The sequence below is a fragment of the Homo sapiens genome, chromosome 3, assembly GCF_000001405.40.
Source record: "Homo sapiens chromosome 3, GRCh38.p14 Primary Assembly".
In the NCBI taxonomy this organism is placed as follows: Eukaryota; Metazoa; Chordata; class Mammalia; order Primates; family Hominidae; genus Homo; species Homo sapiens.
Genome location: NC_000003.12, coordinates 185890583 through 185911608, shown reverse-complemented (window position 1 = coordinate 185911608; position 21026 = coordinate 185890583). Strand labels below are relative to the sequence as shown.

The following is a 21026-nucleotide window of genomic DNA, read 5'->3' as shown; positions in this document are numbered from 1 at the left end:
CCACTGCGCCCGGCCACAATCTGTTTCTTTCTTAAATATGAACAGATAATCAAGGATCACTAGGTTTTAAAATCTTCAAGAACAAAGACGGGAATCTAAACAAACAATTGGAAAAGGGAATTAGGTTAAACAATAACCAGAAAACACTAATAAAAAATATTGCTAAATTATACTTAATTAAAATTTAAAAAGCTTTGTGCTGCAAACGATAACATCAAGAAAGTGAAAATAAAGCCTTCTATAGGGTTTGATAAGAAAGAGAAGGGCATTCTCAGGGGAGAGGGGACCAGGAGTAAAAAGGTCTTTGGGGAGAACTTAGGATGTATGATTTAGAGTCTGAGGTCCACACGGCCAGGTTACACTGATACACAATGGTGTCATCATCACATGCCAGCCTGGAAGCCATGCCACCTGGATTTGAACCCAGATTCTGCCTTTTAGCACTCATGACTCCCTTCTGTCAGTGGTGCTAATTATAGTACCTGTACCTCCTTCATAGAGAATGTTGTGAAGAGTTAACATTAAGAAAAGTACTTAGAAGAGGGCCTGTTATTTAAGATAAATAAGCTTAATGAAGATGTGCTATTATTACTATCATTGTTACTACTACCTCTTCTGCTAGAGAGTCCTGGGAATGGGCCTGGGTTGACCAGAAAGGCCTTAGAATCTCAGGCTACAAAGTTTGAACCCAAAGGAACAAAAGTAAGAGAAAGCCAATTTTAGTTGAAACAGGATAAAAGTGTTTAGGACAATGAAACCAGTAGGAGTGTGTAGGCCCCCCCCTAACACGCCTCTCCATCTGGATTATGGTCCCAGCTAAGGGCTTCCTCCATCATCACACTCACCCCAAGACACTGTAGTTGCCTGTCAATTACCTGCCTCCCCAGCTGGACCATGTCTGTGTTACGGGTGCATCTAGTGTCTAGCGCAGTGTCTGGCACTAAGTGCTCCACAGATGCTCTTCTGATGAATGAAGGAATAGATGAATGGAGTAGAACGATAATTTAGAAAAGGGTCTATAGGGAGCCCAGCCCAGGGGCAGGCTCTGGCCTAGGATGAAGGCAGAGGGAGTGAGAGAAAAGTAAGAAATGCACTGGCCATCAGAGAAATGCAAATCAAAACCACAATGAGATACCATCTCACACCAGTTAGAATGGCGATCTTTAAAAAGTCAGGAAACAAAGGTGCTGAAGAGGATGTGGAGAAATAGGAACACTTTTACACTGTTGGTGGGACTGTAAACTAGTTCAACCATTGTGGAAGAGTGTGGTAATTCCTCAAGGATCTAGAATTAGAAATACCATTTGACCCCGCCATCCCATTACTGTATATACCCAAAGGATTATAAATCATGCTGCTATAAAGACACATGTACATGTATGTTTATTGTAGTACTATTCACAACAGCAAAGACTTGGAACCAACCCAAATGTCCATCAATGATAGACTGGATTAAGAAAATGTGGCACATATACACCATGGAATACTATGCAGCCATAAAAACGGATGAGTTCATGTTCTCTGTAGGGACATGCATGAAGCTAGAAACCATCATTCTCAGCAAACTATTGCAAGGACAAAAAACCACCACACGTTCTCACTCATAGGTGGGAACTGAACAATGAGAACACTTGGACACAGGAAGGGGAACATCATACACCGGGGCCTGTCATGGGGTTGGGGGAGGGTGGAGGGGTAGCATTAGGAGATATACGTAATGTAAATGAGTTAATGGATGCAGTACACCAACATGGAACATATATACATATGTAACAAACCTGCACGTTGTGCACATGTACCCTAGAACTTAAATAAATAAAAAAAAAATACACTTGTCTAGAAGACAGGAGACTTCATTATATTACTCTCTTTACAATTAATTAATGTAAGACCGTTTAAAATATGCCTAATTTTCCAGGCATTGGTTTGCTTTTCTATAAAATGGGAGGATAGAAAATAACTTCCAAATTCTTACAAATCTAAGAATCTTTGGATTTAGATATGGAAATTCATAATTATTGAGATGGAGTCTCGTTACTATGCAATATAGCAAAGTTGGAAATAAATTCTAAATTTTATTTCATTTATATTGATCAATAAATTGTTACATTTCAAAAAAATGCAAGAGGCATTTGGAAAAAAGGACAAATAGGAATTTGTGAAAGACTATGGGAGTTAATGGGAAAGGAAGAGTTGCTGACTGCGAGCCTGGGCTCCTGGCCGCTCGCAGTGGCCCTGTTAAAAATGAGAAGAAAGAAAGAAGTTGGTTTGAGGGAGAAGATTTGCCCTTGACTTTACCTTTGTTGAGCTTTATAGAAGTTACTGGTGATAGCTGAAGCCTCTAATCCCAGTACTTTGGAAGGCTGAGGCAGGCGGATCACTTGAGGCCAGGAGTTCGAGACCAGCCTGGCCAACATGGTGAAACCCCATCTCTACTAAAGTACAAAAAAGAAACCTAGCAGGGCGTGGTGGTGCGTGCCTGTAGTCCCAGCTACTCGGGAGGCTGAGGCAGGAGAATCACTTGAACCTGGGAGGCGGGGTTTGCAGTGAGCCAGATCATGCCACTGCACCCCAGCCTGGGAGACAGAGCAAGATTCTGTCTCAAAAAAATAATAAATAAGTAAAAGTTAAACATAGAATTACCATACAACTCAGCAATTCTACTCCTGGGTTTATACCCAAAAAATCGTAAACATAGGTTCACACAAAAATTTGTACGTGGATGTTCATAGCAGCATTATTAGTGATAGCCGAAAAACAGAAACACCCCAAATGTTCCTTCAGCTGATGAATTGATTAATAAAATGTGATATATCCGGGCCGGGCGCGGTGGCTCACGCCCGTAATCACAGCACTTTAGGAGGATGAGACGGGCGGATCACAAGGCCAGGAGATCGAGACCATCCTGGCTAACATGGTGAAACCCCGTCTCTACTAAAAATACAGAAAATTAGCCGGGTGCGGTGGCGGGCGCCTGTAGTCCCAGCTACTCCAAAGGCTGAGGCAGGAGAATGGCGTGAACCTGGGAGGCAGAGCTTGCAGTGAGCCGAGATCGCGCCACTGCACTCCGGACTGGGCGACAGAGCGAGACTCCGTCTCAATAAATAAATAAATAAATAAATAAATAAATAAATAAAGTGATATATCTATACAATGGAATATTATTTGGCAATAAAAAGGAATGAAGTAATGATACATGCTGACATGAATGAACCTTCAAAACATTTTAAGTGAAAGGAACCAGTCACAAAAGACCATATATTACATGATTTAATATATATGAAATATGCAGAACAGAGAGTTCTATGCAGAGAAAGTAGACTAGTAGTTTCCTAGGCACGGCAATTTGCAGGAGGAAGGGGAAGTGACTGCTAATAGGTATGGCAGTCACTTTGGGCCTGAGGAAAAATATTCTAAAACTGATTGTAGTGATGGTCACTTAACTTTGTAAATATACTAAAAGCGATGGAATTTTGCACTTTAAGCAGACGGATTTCATCTTAATAAAGCTGTTAAGCACTTCCAGTCACCTAAAAACACTATTAAGAGAGTAGGGCCAGGAGTGGTGGCTGACACCTGTAATCCTAGCACTTTGGAAGGCTGAGGCAGGAGGATCCCTTGAGCCCAGTAGTTCGAGACCAGCCTGGGCAATATAAGGAAACTCTGTCTTTTAAAAGAAAGAAATAGGCTGGGCGTGGTGGCTCATGCCTGCAATCCCAGCACTTTGGGAGGCCGAGGTGGGCGGATCACTTGAGATCAGGAGTTCAAGACCACCCTGGCCAACATGGTGAAACCCTGTCTCTACTAAAAATACAAAAATTAGCCGGGTGTGGTGGTATACACCTGTAGTCCCAGCTACTCAGGAGGCTGAGGCAGCAGAATAACTTGAACCCAGCAAGCGGAGTTTGCAGTGAGCTGAGATCACGTCACTGCACTCCATCCTGGCAACAGAGCGAGACTCCATCTCAAAAAAAAAAAAAAAAAAAAGACACTGCAGCTTCTGCCCTCCTCTCTCTTCGGTCACTTGCTTTGGGAAAGGCCAGTCATCCTGTGGAGAATCCATGTGGTAAGGAACTGTGGCATCTTGCCAACACTCAGCCCCATCTTGCAGCCATGTGAGTAAGCCATATATTATCTTGGAAATGGATTGTTCAGCCTACTAAAGCCTGCAGGTGGCCACAGCCCCATGTAACCTCTTTACTGCAACTTCATTAAAGACCCTGAGCTAAACCACCCAGCTAAGACACTCCAGAATTCCTAACCCACAGAAACTGAGAATAAATGTTTATTGATGTTTTAAATCAGTATGTCTTAAAGGAATTTCTTACACAGAATAGTTAAATACAGAACCCAATTTTTAAAAGTGCACAACATCTTGAACAGGCATTTCATGTAAATAAAAAGGATATGCAAATAGCTAATAAGCTTAGCAAGGAAATGCAAATGAAAGCTCCAATGAAAAACTGCTGTATACTCACTAGAATGACTCAAAATTTTGAGGTTTTTTTGAGGCAGGGTATTACTCTGTCGCTTAAGCTGGAGTGCAATTGTGTGATTATGGCTCACTGTATCCTCGACCTCCCAGGCTCAAGCAATCCTCCAACCTCAGTCTTCCGGGTAGCTAGGACCTCAGGCACATGCCATCACACGCAGCTAATTTTTAAATATTTTGTAGAGACAGGGTGTCCCTATGTTGCTCAGGCTGGTCTTGAACTCCTGGGCTCAAGCGATTTGTACTCCTCAGCCTCCCAAAGTGCTAGCAATACAGGCATGGCCACCGAGCCCAGCCCAGAATGATTAAAATTTAAAAATTTACAATAGCAAGTGTTGACGAGAATGTAGGGCAACTAAAACTTGTATACGTTGCTGGCAGAAGTATAAATTGGTACAACCACTTTGAAAAACTATTTGACAATATATATTAAAGCTAAACCTTCATATACCCTATGACCCAGAAATTTCACCCCATAGAAATGAGTGCTTACATCTGCAATAAACATGTACAAGCCAGGCATGGTGGCTCACACTTGTAATCCCAGCACTTTGGGAAGCTGAGGCAGGTGGATCACTTGAGTCCAGGAGTTTGAAACCAGCCTGGCCAACATAGTGAAATCCCATCTCTACTACTACTACTACTACTACTATTACTAATAATAATAATAATAATAATAATAATAATATAGCCAGGTGTGGTGGTGTACACCTGTAGTCCCGACTATTCAGGAGGCTGAGGCACAAGAAGATCTTGAACCTGGGAGGCAGAGGTTGCAGTGAGCTGAAATCATGCCACTGCATTCCAGCCTGGGTGACAGAATGAGATTCTGTCTCAAAAAAAAAAAGTATGGGAATGTTCATAGTAGCTTTATTCATAATACATCCAAACTGAAAACAACTCAAATGTCCTTCAATGGGAAATAAATTGTGGTATATTTATATGATGAAATAGAATACATCAATACAAATAGGGAATACCGGCTACAATTGGTTACAGGGATGGATCTCACAGACATAATGTTGTTGAGTGAAATAAACCAGACATAGAAGAGTACGTAATATATGATTCCATTGATATGAAGTTCAAGAACAAGCAAAACTAACGGTTGTTGAAAGAAATCAGAAGAGTGGTTGCTTCTTGAGGTTGTATTGCCTGAGAAGGCGTGTAAGAGAAAGCCTTTCATGGTACCAGAAATATTCTATATCTTGATCTATGTGTGGCTATACAGGTGTAATCATATGTAAAATTCATCAAGCACTATAATCAAAATTGTATATATACATTTAAAATTGTATATTTTTCAGTATATAAATTATACCTCGATTAAAAACTTTAAACTAGGCCGGGTGCGGTGGCTCATGCCTGTAATCCCAGCACTTTGGGAGGCTGAGGCGGGCGGATCACGAGGTCAGGAATTCGAGACCATCTTGGCCAAAATGGTGAAACCCCATCTTTACTAAAAATATAAAAAACTAGCTGGACATGGTGATGCATGCCTGTAGTCACAGCTACTCGGGATGCTGAGGCAGGAGAATCACTTGAACCCAGGAGGCTGAAGTTGCAGCAAGCCGAGATTGCACCACTGCACTCCAGCCTGGGTGGCAGAGTGAGAATCCATCTCAAAAACAAAAAATAAAATAAAATAAAATAAAACAAAACCAGGAACAATCAGAGAACAAAATAGAGCTCTTAAAAATTAAAAACAGGGCTGGGCACGGTGGCTCAGGTCTGTAATCCCAGCACTTTGGGAGGCCAAGGTGGGCAGATTACTTGAGGTCAAGAGTTCAAGACCAGCCTGGTCAACATGGTGAAACCACCGTCTCTACTAAAAATACAAAAATTAGCCAGGCGTTGTGGCACACAGGTAATCCCAGGTGCTTGGGAGGCTGAGGCAAGAGAGTTGCTTGAGCCCAGGAGACGGAGGTTGCAGTGAGCCGAGATGGCGCCACTGCACTCCAGCCTGGGTAACAGAGCAAGACTCTGTCTCAAAAACAAAAAAAAAATAAAATAAAACCAGGAACAATAGGAGAACAAGATAGAGCTCTTAAAAATTAAAAACAGGCCGGCTGCGTGGCTCGTACCTGTAATCCCAGCACTTTGAGAGGCTGAGGCAGTTGGATCGCTTGAGCTCAGGAGTTTGAGACTACCCTGGGCAGCATGGCGAAACTCTGTCTACACAAAAAAATATGAAAATTAGCTGCAGGTGGTGGTGCTCACCTGTGATGTCAGCCACTCGGGAGGCTGAGGTGAGAGGACCGCTTGAGCCTGGGAGGTCAAGGCTGCAGTGAGCTGTGATTATGCCATTGCACTCCAGCCTGGGTGACACAGTGAGACCTTGTCTCAAAAAAATAAAATAAAAACACCATAGACCAGGCACGATGGCTCATGCCTGTAATCCCAGCACTTTGGGAGGCCAAGGCAGGTGGATCACTTCAGTCCAGGAGTTTGAGATTTGGGCAACATGGCAAAACCCCAGGTCTGCAAAAAACACAAAAATTAGCCAGGTGTGGTGGCACATGCCTGTAGTCCCAGCTACTTTACAGGCTGAGGTGGGAGGATCACCTGAGCACAGGAGGTTGAGGCTGTGGCAAGCTGAGATGGCGCCACTGCACTCCAGCCTGGGCAACAGAGCAAGACCCTGTCTCAAAAAAAAAAAAAGGAAGAATTAAAAACATTATAGATGGGATTTTAGTTCAATCAAAGGTTGAAATGTAAAGTTGAGGAAACTCCCAGAAAGTATAATAAAACACAAAAACCAAAGAGATGGAAAATATGGGTAATAAAAAATTAGAAATTTATTCCATGAGATTGGGAATAACAGATGTTGCAGAAAGAGAGAACGTGGAGGCGAGAAAATTATTTCAGATATGGTACAAGTAGATTTCCCCCAGCATCATGAATGTCACCTCATTGGAAGTCACCATATTGAAAAGGCCTACTGTGTACCCAGCACACAAAGCCATGTTGTGAAATTTAAGAATACAGGTAGGGAAGGAAGAGAGGGAAGGAAAGAGAGAGAGAGAGAGAACACAGTTCTCATTCAAAGAAATAGAAAACAGAATCAGAGTGGCACTGAAACTTTTCAAAAGCAACACAGGATGCTAAAAAACAGTGGAGAAATGACTACAAAATTCTGAAGAAAAATTATTATTATTATTATTATTATTATTATTTGAAACAGGGTCTTGCTTTGTCACCCAGATGGAGTACAGTGTCTCAATCTTGGTTCACTCACTGCAGCCTCAACCTCCTGGGCTCAAGGAATCCTCCCACCTCAGCCTCCCGAGTAGCTGGGACCACAGGGATGTGCCACCACGCCCGGCTAATTTTTTTGTATTTTTTGTAGAGACGGGATTTTGCTGTATTAGCCTAGGCTGTTTCAAACTGCTGACTCCTGAGTTCAAGGGATCCACCTGCTTCGGCCTCCCAAAGTGCTGGTATTGTTACAGGCATGAGCTACTGTGACTGGCCAAGAAAAATTATTTTCAACCTAAAATTCTAAATTTGAGAGTTGAATAAGGACATCTTAAGGCATACAAAGACTTCCCTTCTTAAAAAAAAAAAAAAAGTCTGGGCGAAGTGGCTCACGCCTGTAATCCCAACACTCTGGGAGGCCAAGGTGGGTGGATCACCTGAGGTCAGGAGTTCGAGACCAGCCTCAACATGGAGAAACCCCGTCTCTATTAAAAATACAAAATTAGCCAGGCGTGGTGGTACATGCCTGTAATCCCAGTTACTTGGGAGGCTGAGGCAGGAGAACTGCTTGAACCTGGGGGGCAGAGGTTGCGGTGAGCCGAGATCACGCCGTTGCACTTCAGCCTGGGCAACAAGAGCAAAACCTCCGTCTCAAAAAAAAAAAAAAGATAACCTGGCCAAGCGCGGTGGCTCACACCTATAATCCCAGCACTTTGGGAAGCCCGGGTAGGCCAAACATGAGGTCAAGAGATTGAGACCATCCTGGCCAACATGGAGAAATCTCATCTCTACTAAAAATATAAAAATTAGCTGGGCATGGTGGCACACACCTGCAGTCCCAGCTACTTGGGAGGCTGAGGCAGGAGAATCACTTGAACCCAGGAGGCAGAGGTTGCAGCGAGCCGAGATTGCACCACTGCACTCCAGCCTGGCGACAAAGCGAGACTCCATCTCAAAAAAAAAAGAATACCCTATGCAACTTTTGAGGAATCTCCTAGATGATGTGCTTTGGCAAATAAGGAAAATGGAACTCTTTTTGTATTCAGAGACACTACTGAGAGGCTTTCACAGGTTTGAAGTAGTCAAAGAAAATTAGATACGTGCACATAAAAAATTTAAAAAATGAAAAAAAATTGGAATTCTAGGATATAAAACAATATTTGTAGGGAATAAGAAAGCCATTCATGGCTGGGTGCCGTAGCTCACACCTGTAATCCCAGCACTTTGGGAGGCCAAGGCAGGCAGATCACTTGCAGTCAGGAGATTGAGACCAGCCCGGCCAACATGGTGAAACCCCGTCTCTACTAAAAACACAAAAATTTGCCGGGTGTTGTGGCGGGCACCTGTAATCCCAGCTACTCGGGAGACTGAGCGGGGAAAATCGCTTAAACCCAGGAGAAGGAGGTTGCAATGAGCCAAGATCATGCCATTGCACTCCAGCCTGGGTGATAAAGCGAGACTCATTCTCAAAAAAAGAAAAAGAAGAAAAAAGGAAAGTCATTCATGCTATATTATAGTACGTGTCTCAAAAGTGAACAATATTGAGATGGTCAAAATAAGGTAAACACTTCCTATCAACTCTGAAAAGTATCATATCCCTAAATGGTGAAGCTGGGAGGAGGAAAACTGTGGGTGTATGAGAAAAGCATGTTCAGTCCTCAAGGAATTGATTTCACTGAAAAATATAGAAACTGATTATACTTGACTTGAAGTAGAATAAAAAATAAATGTGCAAAAAAAGTGTGTATGCAGTTGTGTGTGCGTGTGTCCTAATATTGGCATGCTTTTTGTACTTTTTCTGCATTAAATTTTTGCTTTCAAAGGGGTTAGTTAATGCTTCTGAATTTCATGTGGTCTGGGAACTCTGAAAACAGGCTCCTCTGTTTGATGTCCCTCTTCTTTCTTTCTTTTTTTAATTTTTTTATTTTTTTTATTTTTTGAGACAGAATTTTGCTCTTGTCGCCCAGGCTGGAGTACAATGGCGCCATCTCGGCTCACTGCAATCTCCACCTCCTGGGTTCAAGCGATTCTCCTGCTTCAGCCTCCAGAGTAGCTGGGATTACAGGAGCCCGCCACCACGCCCAGCTAATTTTTTGTATTTTTAGCAGAGACAGGGTTTCAATATGTTGGTCAGGCTGGTCTTGAACTCCTGACCTCTGGTGATCCACTCACTTCAGCCTCCCAAAGTGCTGGGATTACAGGCGTGAGCCACCATGCCTGGCCACAGTCCCTCTTATTTCTACTGAGAACTTTACATGGCTCAGCTGTGTGGCCTTTCAGGAAATTTAACTATACTGATCAAACTATACAGATCAAAACTGACCTGTCAGGAAATCAAGAAATGGACAGAGGAGCGGTTTGTTATAGCTCAAAATAGCATGGAAAAGAAAATGAAGCTCTACTTAGAATAAGCAAAGGATATGAGAAAATAAAACTCATTCTGAAGGATCCGGCTGTGTTTATGAGCTGCAGTCTTGCTAGTGATTTAAGAGATAGGCTTGTTCTGGAGGATTTACATTAGCAAAAGTTGCAAACCTGAAGTGTAGGATTGTAGATTTAAAAAGAAAATACAAATTTCATGCTGTATACACAGCAGTTCTATGAACAAAGTGGGTTTGTTGTTGTTGTTGTTGTTTTGTTTTTGTTTTCTTTTTGAGATGGAGTCTCGCTCTGTCTCCCAGGCTGGAGTGCAGTGGCACAATATTGGCTCACTGCAACCTCCGCCTCCCGGGTTCAAGCAATTCTCCTGCCTCAGCCTCCTGAGTAGCTGGGATTACAGGCATTCGCCATGTCGCCTGGCTAATTTTTGTATTTTTGGTAGAGTCGGGGTTTTGCCATGTTGGCCAGGCCGGTCCCAAACGCCTGACTTCAAGTGATCGGCCACCTCGGCCTCCCAAAGTGCTGGGATTACAGGTGTGAGACACCGTTCCTGGTCTGAACAGTGTTTCTATCGTTTTAAATTTGGTAAGGCCGGGTGCAGTGGCTCACGCCTGTAATCCCAGCACCCTGGGAGGCCGAGGCGGGCAGATCACCTGAGGTCGGAAGTTAGATACCAGCCTGACCAACATGGAGAAACCCCGTCTACTAAAAATACAAAATTAGCTGAGTGTGGTGGCGGGCACCTGTAATCCCAGCTACTCGGGAGGCTGAAGCAGGAGACTCGCTTGAACCTGGGAGGTGGAGGTTGCAGTGAGCCGGGATCACGCCATTGCACTCCAGCCTGGGCGACAAGAGTGAAACTCCATCTCAAAATAATAATAATAATAAAATAAAAAACGAGGCTCGCTGGAAAGGAATTACAGATGTTTCTGACCCTTGTTAAGGGATTAATCAGATTTACAGAGTTAATGGTGCAGTCTGGATCTGAGGGCTGGAATCAATTTCCCTGAGACACTCACTTCCATCCAGCAGAAAGTAGGAGGGTGTCCAGTGAGTCACTCCCTGACCGGAAACTGCTGACACCAGGCACCAGCAGGTTGCTGACTCAGGCCAAGGGGAGCTCCAAGCCCTCATCACCCTCAGTGCATGAATCTTCACAGCAGCCATTGGAGCAGGGCCAGGCTTACAAATGGCCTTTCATGCCACTTACCAAGAGTGAGTGTTCACTAATTTTTCTGCCCCAGGCAGAGGAATAAATGACAGTGACTTTCTTGGCATTCTCTCCTGAGAGAAGTACAGTGAGTTCAAAATGTAGAGAGTCAGGTAAACTTTGCATTTCTGTACAGGTCCAAGTCTAGAAGTTGTGCAAATATAATCACATGTGTGGGTTTGCCTATTTATTATCACATCATTGAAAACAGCTAGATGAATGAAACATTTATGTGTGAAGTTTAAAGACAGGGAAAACAATACCATATTTGTGGAGACACCTACATATGAAGTAAGGTGATAAAAACAAGCATGAGGATAGTAAATGCAAAGAGAGGCATATATACGGAGCTTCTGCTTGTATTTGTATTGCTTTATTTTGTAGTCTGAGTGATAATGATAAGGGTGTTTCCCATTATTCTGTATACTCTTGTGTGTGCTTATATTTAATATTTAATAATATTTAAACATTTAATACTTTTTTGTCTCAAAAAGTATTTTACCTTTTTCTGAGCTTTATTGGAGTATAATTTACATGCATGGCTGGGCGTGGTGGCTCACACCTGTAATCCCAACACTTTGGGAGGCCAAGGCGGGTGGATCACATGAGGTCAGGAGTTTGAGACCAGCCTGGCCAACATGGTGAAACCCTGTCTCTACTAAAAATACAAAAATTAGCCGGATGTTAAATTAGCCAGATGTGGTGATGCGCACCTGTAATCCCAGCTACTCAAGAGGCTGAGCATGAAAATCGCTTGAATCTGGGAGGCAGAGGTTGCAATGAGCCGAGATTGCGCCACTGCACTCTAGCCTATGTGACAGAGCAAGATTTCACCTCAAAAAATAAATAAATAAATAAATAAAATAAAATAAACATCTACATGCAAAAAAAGTACCCTTATTACACAATTCAATGAGTTCTGACAAGTGTATAGTCACATAACTACCTCTGAAACTCATGATTTAGAATATTTTCATCACTCTCCAAAATTAAAAATATGAAAGCTGAAAGGCAAGTATTTACACTTCAAGCCATGACAGAAACTGATACTCAACCAGCTCTCCCTCAGTAAACAGCTATAAAGCTGGACAAAATACATGAAATAACTGTTGTACCTCAGGCAACACAGCACCATGATTCTTCAGCAAAGGGAACAAACAAAACGAGCCCGCATGCCATGGCTTTCTCTCTGGAGCCAATTTCTGGACTGTGGTGTCTGAGGGGTAGCCCAACCAGAGGACAAAAGTCTCCCTGACTTAAGAACACGGAAATCAGAGTTCAGGACTACCTTGTGTCTGGAATGTGTAGGGCAGATTACCAAAGAGAAAGAACCAATGCCAAGGAGGACCTCCAAAAATCTGCGTCGGGACCCTGTTGAGTCTTCGTCTAAATACTAAACTATGCATGCACAGAACAAGTCTCCAAGAGGCTGGGCAATGAACAATTACCAGAGAAATAACAACTATCATTTAGCTGAGAGCTAAATAACTACCGAATCTCATACAGGTCTGAAAGATGTTCAAGTTTCAACCAGCCAGAGTGGAAATACTTTATAAAAAATGAGACCACAGCAGACATCTCAGAAAGACCCCATCTTAGGAGAAAGACTAATCTAGCCCTAGAGTTAAAGGTTTCTCTAGACCCACCCTAACAAAGCTAAAAAATAAGTTTCAAAAGTATTAAGCTAATTCCCAAGTAAATTAAGTCCCTGAAAAAGAAAATCTAAAAATCTATCAAGGAAGTTAAAAAAAATTTGGACACTCAACAATTTAGCATCCATAATGTCTAGCATATAATTTAAAAATTACTAGATACAGAAAGAAGCAGGAAAGTATGATCTATAATGAGGAAGAAAGTTAGTAAATAGAAATACACCCCAACATGATGGAAATGATGTTATTATCAACAAGGACTTTAAACCTGCATTATAAACACATTAAACTATTTTAAGGAAAAGATGAACACAATGAGAGAACAATTGGGAAATGTCAATAGAAAGACGGAAAATGCAGAAAAGAATCAAACAAAAATTTTAGAATCTAAAAATAAAATATACGAATGAAAAATTTAAGTGGATAGGTTTGTTGTTGTTGTTTGTTTGAGACGGAGTCTTGCTGCTCTGTCACCCAGGCTGGAGTGTAGTGGCATGATCTTGGCTCACTGCAACCTCTGCCTCCCGGGTTCAAGCGATTCTCGTGCCTCAGCCTCCCAAATAGCTGGGCCTACAGGTGTGCATCACCATGCCCAGCTAATTTTTAGTATTTTTAGTAAAGACGGGGTTTCGCCATGATGGCCAGGCTGGTCTCAAACTCCTGGCCTCAAGTGATGCACCCAGCTTGCCCTTCCAAAGTGCTGGGATTACAGGTGTGAGCCACTATGCCCGACCTGAACAGGTTTTTTTTAATTATTATTATTTAATTAGAGACAAGATCTCACTCTATCACCCAGACTGCAGTGCAGTGGCGTGATCATGACTTACTGTAGCCCTGAACTCCTTGGCTCAAGTGATCCTCCCACCACAGCCTCCCCAGCAGTTAGGACTACAGGCACATGCCACCACACCCAGCTAATGGTTTTGTTGTTGTTGTTTCACTTTTTATAGGGATAGGGTCTTGCTGTGTTGTCTAGGCTGGTCTTGAACTTCTGGCCTCAAGTGATTCTCATGCCTCAGCATCCCAAAGTCCTGGGATGACAGGTGTGAGCCACTGTGCCTGGCCTTGATAGGCTTAACAGCAGACTAGACACACAGAAGAAAGATCAGTGAATTTGAACACATGACAATAGAAACTATCCCAACTGAATCACATCAAGAAAAAAAAAGTCCAGAAAACTGTTGTCAAATTATCAGCAATCTATTGGACGATATCAGGCCATCTACTAGGTGTGAAGTTTAAGTACCAGGAAGAGAGGTGAGAGATACTCAAGCAGAAAAAATATCTGAATAATATTTAAAATATAGCATGTGAATAATTGTCAAAATGGTTTCAGAATTTTGAAAATATAAGCCCACAGATCCAAGAAGCTCCGAGAACCCCAGGAATGATAAAAATCAAAGAAACATGCCAAGGAACATCAGAATTAAATGTCTCAAAACCAAACCAACCAAAAACAAACAAACAAACAAACAAAAAAACAAACTTAAAACCAACCAGAAAAGTCCAGTGGTTGACGTCTGTAATCGCGGCATTCCGGGAGGCCAAGGCAGACAGATCACTTGAGGTCAGGAGTTTGAGACCAGCCTGGGCAACGTGGCAAAACTCCACGTCTACTAAAAATACAAAAAGAAAAAAAAATTAGCTGGGTGCGGTAGCTTGTGCCTGTAGTCTCAGCTACTTGGGAGGTTGGGGTAGGAGGATTACTTCAGCCCAGGAAGTGGAGGTTGCAGTGAGTGCCACTGCACTCCAGCCTGGGTGACACAGCAAGAACTTGTCTCAAAAAAAAAAAAAAAGAAGAAGATGAAAAAAAAAAAAAAAAAAGCAACCAGAGGAAAAATATGCATTACATAGAGGAACAGTGATAAGAATAGCCTCTGACGTCTCATCAGAAATAATGCAGCTCAGAACACAATGTAACAACAATTTAAAGTGATGAAAGAAAAGTAAAACCTGTCAAACTAGAATCTATATCAAGAGAAAATGTCTCCAGGTGTGGTGGCTCATGCCTGTAATCCAAGTGCTTTGGGAGGCCTAGGCGGGTGGATCACTTGAACCCAGGAGTTCCAGGCCAGTCTGGGCAACTTAACAACATCGCTTATCTACAAAAAACTTTCAAAAAAACTAGCTGGGCGTGGTGGTGTGTGCCTGTGGTCCCAGCAACCTGGGAGGTTGAGGTGCGATCACTTAAGCCAGGAGGTTGAGGCAGCAGTGAGCCATGATCGTACCACTGCACTCCAGTCTGAGTGGCAACGTGAGACCTCGTCTCAAAAAAAGAAAGAAAGAAAGAAAAGAAATGAATGAGAGGAGCTTCCCTTCACGGGTCTTACTGATGCTAATAAAAACATTAGGTTAGTTAACAAGAGAATGAGAAAGGCAAAAGGGAGAATCAAAAGACTCATCCCAAGAAGGTAGAAATTTTTAAACAATTATTAAGTAATCAGATGAATAAAGAAAACATTCAGCCAGGTGTGGTGGCTCATGCCTGTAATCCCAGCAGTTTGGGAGGCCGAGGCAGGAGGGTTGCTTGAGCCCAGGAGTTCGAGACCTACCTGGGCAACATGGTGAAACCTCTTCTCTATAAAAAATGCAAAATTAGCCAGGAGTGGTGGCATGGGCCTGTAGTCACAGCTATTTGGGAGGCTGAGGTAGGAGGGTTGCTTGAGTCCAAGTGGTCAGGCTGCAGTGAGTTGAGATCATGCCACTGGGCTTCAGCCTGGGCAAGAGAGTAATATCCTGTCTCAAAAGGAAGAAATGTATGCCAAAAAATTTGAATACCTAGATGAAATAGACCAATTCCTTAAAAGACACTATTTTAAAAATGGAATTTAAAATTTTTCGATTTGGCTGGGTGTGGTGGCTCATGCCTGTAATCCCAGCATTTTGGGAGGCTGAGGCAGGCAGATCACTTGAGGTCAGGAGTTCAAGACAAGCCTGGCCAACATGGTGAAACCCTGTCTCTACTAAAAATACAAAAATTAGCCAGGTATGGTGGCATGCGCCTGTAGTCCCAGCTACTCGGGAGGCTGAGGCACTAGAATCACTTAAACCCAGGAGGCAGAGGTTACAGTGAGCCAAGATCACGCCACTACACTCTAGCCTGGGTGACAGAGAGAGACTGTCACACAAAAAATAAAATAAAATAAATAAATAAATAAAATAAAAATTTTCCATTAAAAATAAAGCTCCAAAAGCAAAACAAAAGCCGGGCGCGGTGGCTCACGCCTGTAATCCCAGCACTTTGGGAGGCCGAGGCGGGCGGATCACAAGGTCAGGAGATTGAGACCATCCTGGCTAACACGGTGAAACCCCGTCTCTACTAAAATACAAAAAATTAGCCGGGCGTGGTGGCGGGCGCCTGTAGTCCCAGCTTCTCGGGAGGCTGGGGCAGGAGAATGGCGTGAGCCTGGGGGGCGGAGTTTGCAGTGAGCCGAGATTGCGCCACGGCACTCCAGCCTGGGCAACAGAGCAAGACTCCATCTCAGAAAAAAAACAAAACAAAACAAAACAAAAAAAACCCCTCCAGACTAAGATAACTTCACTAGTGAATTCTATCAAACATTTAGGGAAGAAATAATACCAATTTCATATAAATCTTTTTTGTAAAATAGAGAAAGACACACTTCTCTATTTTACATTACTCTGATATCAAAACTAGATAAAGGCATTATGAGAAAAGAAAATTGCAGGGATATATTCCTGATGAAAATAAGTACAAAATCTATACCAAGATAATAACAGATTGAATTAACCTATATATTAAAAAGATTACATATCACAAATAAATGACCTTTTCTGAGGCATGCAAGTTTGGATTAATACTCCAAAATCAACTGATGCTATTTACCACATTAACAGAAAAAAAAGGAGTAAAGCTAGATGACCATTTCAATAGATGCAGAAAAAGCATTTAACAAAACTCAACACCCATTCATGATAAAAACCCTCAGCAAATTTAGAGGAAAAAAATATTCAACCCAATAAAGGGCATCTATGAAAAACTTAAAGCTAACACCATACTTAATGATGAAAGACTGAACGCTTTTTTCCATTATATCAAGATGAAGTCAAGGCAGTCCACTCACTATTTCTACTGAACATCATCAATACAATGAGAAAAGAAAAAAAAAAAAGAAAAATCATACATATAAGAAAGAAAGAAGTAAATTGATTGATTGATTGATTGATTTTTTTGAGACGGAGTTTCACTCCTGTTGCCCAGGCTGGAGTGTAATGGTGCGATCTCGGCTCACTGCAACCTCTGCCTCCTGGGATCAAGTGATTCTCCTGCCTCAGCCTCCCAAGTAGCTGGGATTACAGACATGAGCCACCACGCCCGGCTAATTTTTTGTATTTTTAGTAGAGATGGAGTTTCTCCATGTTGGTCAGGTCGGGAATTTATTTTATTTATTTATTTATTTATTTATTTATTTTTTAGACAGAGTCTCGCTCTGTTGGCCAGGCTGGGGTGCAGTGACACAATCTCAGCTCACTGCAACCTCTGTCTCCTGGGCTCAAGCAATTCTCCTGCCTCAGCCTCCCGAGTAGCTGATATTACAGGCATGTGCCACCATGACTAGCTAATTTTTGTATTTTTAGTACAGACGGGGTTTCACCATGTTGGCCAGGCTGGTCTCGAACTCCTGACCTCAGGTAATATGCCCGCCTCGGCCTCCCAAAGTGCTGGGATTACAGGCGTGAGTCACCACGCATGGCCGTAAAACTCTTTTTTAATTTAATTAATTTATTATTTATTTATTAATTTTTGAGACAGAGTCTTGCTCTGTCACCCAGGCTGGAGTGCAGTGGAGTGATGTTGGCTCACTGCAACTTCCCCCTCCCGGATTCAAGCGATTCTCCTGCCTCAGCCTCCTGAGTAGCTGGGATTACAGGCATGCACCACCACAACTGGCTAATTTTTGTATTTTTAGTAGAGACAGGGTTTCACCGTGTTGGCCAGGCTGGTCTCAAACCCCTGACCTCAGGAGGTCCACCTGCCTTGGCCTCCCAAAGTGCTAGGATTACAGGCGTGAGCCACCGTGCCTGGCTGAAATGGACCTACTCTTATGTGATCAATTGGTTTTTTACCAAAGTATTAAAGGAATTTAATAGGGAAATTAAGTCTGTTCAACAAATGGTACTGGCACAGTTGTCTATGTAAACAAGACATATTAAGTAATTTGCTTTCCAGTTTTTTTTTGAGACGGAGTTTTGCTCTGTCGCTCAGGCTGGAGTGCAGTGGCGCAATCTGGGCTCACTGCAACCTCCGCCTCCCGGGTTCAAGTGATTCTCCAGCCTCAGCCTCCGAAGTAGCTGGGATTACAGGTGTCCACCACCATGCCCGGCCAATTTCTGTACTTTTAGTAGAGATGGGGGTTTCTCCATGTTGGCCAGGCTGGTCTCAAGCTCCTGACCTCAGGTGATCTGCCCGCCTTGGCTTCCCAAAGTGCTGGGATTACAGGCGTGAGCCACCGAGCCCGGCCCCAGTTTTTTATTATCAAAGATATTTAAGTGCTAATCAGAGTTTTTAAATTAACAGGATGATTCCACTTAAGTTGATGTTATAGCAAGATGATTTGGCTTTATTATTTGGTCTTTGTGACCTCAATGAAGGGAAAAGTATAAACTTTTTTGTTGTTTTTGAGACAGAGTCTCACCCTGTGTCACCCAGGCTGGAGTGCAGGGGCGCGATCTCAGCTCTCTGCCTCCCAGGTTCAAGTGATTCTCCTGCCTCAGCCTCCCAAGTAGCTGGGATCACACGCACGTGCCACCATGCCTGGCTAATTATTTATTTATTTATTTATTTTTTAGTAGAGTTGGACTCCTGACCTCAAGTGATCTGCCCACCTCAGCCTCCCAAAGTGCTGGGATTACAGGTGCGAGCCACTGCGCCCAGCCTATGTTTTGTTTTTAATACTGAAAACATCTTTTGTTTTCCTGTAGATGTATCTGTACATAACGTGTTATGACAACAACAACAAAAAACTACAAACAAACTAATAAAAATAACTACATCTTATTATCCCTGTTTAACAGATAAGAAACTGAGATCCAAGGACACACATCCAGGACTTGGAAGACTAGAAGACTGAACTGGGGTCTACCTGATGCCACCACCTTTGCTCTTACAAAATTAACTGTAAGTATGTAGGACTTCAGCAGGGAGGAGGTTATCCGAGTGAGAGCCTGGCGTTAGCATTAGTCATCTGTAGAAATCACTATATCCAGGAGGGTGGGATAACTGGAATTGTTGGTCCATCAAATACAATTTTTGATAAACAATCAGTATCAAAACATTTTAAATGCTCATACTTTTGTTGTGGTCATTTCAGCCTTAGGAATCAATCCCAAAGAGAAACAGACTTGTGTTTGCCAAATCAGATTTTCATTACAGCATTATTTATAAGAGCAAAAAGTTGGGAACATTAGACATATTCAACAATAGAGAAATGTTTAAATAAATCCCAGCATATTCATGATGAATGATTATGCAGCCATTCAAAATCATTTTTGAAGAATGTTTACAATATAATGTTAAGTGAAAAATATATAAATATATAATATATACAATAATATATAAAGCCATAAATAGAGTATACCCAAGTTTCTTTCATCTAAATGGTTTTGCCAACATTTTATTATCTTGACCCTCAAAGACCAACTTTCAGGAGAAGAAAGATATTTATCTTTCTGTTTTATAAAACAAAACAAACACACACACAAAATCGATTTACTTCCACCTGGATCTTTGTCCAACTTGACCCAAGCAAGCTTCCTTTAGGAAAACTGATACTCTCAACACTGAGATTTGTTTTGCATGAAAGGATCCCAGTCTGGGTTCCTCACTTATGTGTTTCTTCTCACTTTTAGCTGAAGTCAATTTGTCCCAAGAAGAAACAGTACTTGCCAATTACTGAGCTGCCTTCCAGGTGTGGAAAGATAGTATCTCGGGGCCCAGCACTGTGTCTGGTCTGCAGAATCTGAACGGTTGCCTGGAGCAGTGGGAGTAAACCTGGAGATTTCAGCTTGGCAGCCTGGGTGGGTCTCTTCTTTGATAGGTTTGCTTCCACACCCTCCATATATCAGGCAGCAAATATCAACAGGGCTGCCATCTTCAGAAAAGGTCTATCTATGTCAGAGTGTTGGGCGGCATAAGCTACCCTACCTTAAGGATCCTCCTGCCCAGGAATTTTGCAGCCATCCTCCTTCAGCTGTAGCCTTCGGGGGCTACTGAGAAAGTTCAACAAGCAGACATCTAGATATAGGTGCACCTGCTAAGGTCTGGGACTACTAGCACCCTGCTACTAAAGGTGACAAAAGTAGGGTGGTCTGTTCCACCAGAACAACTGGCTATGGTCTTAGCAGGATAATTCCACCCTTATGTTGGGTTCTGCAACGGCATTGCTCAAGTAGACACTACAGACCATCCAAACCCTGATTGTGGACATAGTGACATCCACTGGACCCGCATTTAACACAATTCCCTCTAAACAACAATCATTGCAGCACTTGTCAGCACCTGAAAGTTAACTTACTCTACCTGCTCCAACCCTACATACCTTCATAATACAAAATCATGATGGACTCCATCATGAGTCCATCTTCCTCTTGTAGCCACAACCTAACTTAGGCCAGAATAGCAGTTCCAACAGTATTTGCTGCCTAGAATATCCTACTGAGAAATATACCGTTTTAATTTTTATTGGCATATAAATTACATACAGTAGGGTATAGGGTACATAAAGTGCACTTAAGTATGTACAGTTCAATGAATTCATGCATATGTATACATCCATGTGACTATTCTGCAGATCAGTATAAAACATTTTCATACTCCAGAAGGCTCCTCTATTCTCCCTAGTGAATACAGAGGTTACCACTATTCCGACTCTTATTACTAGAGTTTTCTTTTCCTTTTTTTTTTTTGAGATGGAGTTTTGCTGTATCACCCACGCTGGAGTGCAGTGGCACGATCTCACTCACTGCAACCTCCACCTCCTGGGGTCAAGTGATTCTCCTGCCTCAGCCTCCTGAATAGCTGGGATTACAGGCACATGCCACCACGTCCAGCTACTTTCTGTATTTTTAGTATAGA

At 42.5% G+C, this 21026-nt stretch overlaps 2 annotated features.

Moving 5' to 3' along the window:
- Positions 5728–5919: a silencer, noted in NCBI's record as "fragment chr3:185623478-185623669 (GRCh37/hg19 assembly coordinates)". NCBI's record gives its function as "represses an EF-1alpha promoter that drives an FKBP-Casp9 reporter gene in an ReSE screen in K562 erythroleukemia cells {active_cell/tissue: K562}" and the evidence as "EXISTENCE:reporter gene assay evidence [ECO:0000049][PMID:32094911]".
- Positions 11014–11308: an enhancer, noted in NCBI's record as "tiled region #6530; HepG2 Activating DNase unmatched - State 8:EnhW, and K562 Activating DNase unmatched - State 5:Enh". NCBI's record gives its function as "activates a minimal TATA promoter and a strong SV40 promoter by Sharpr-MPRA in HepG2 and K562 cells {active_cell/tissue: HepG2 | K562}" and the evidence as "EXISTENCE:reporter gene assay evidence [ECO:0000049][PMID:27701403]".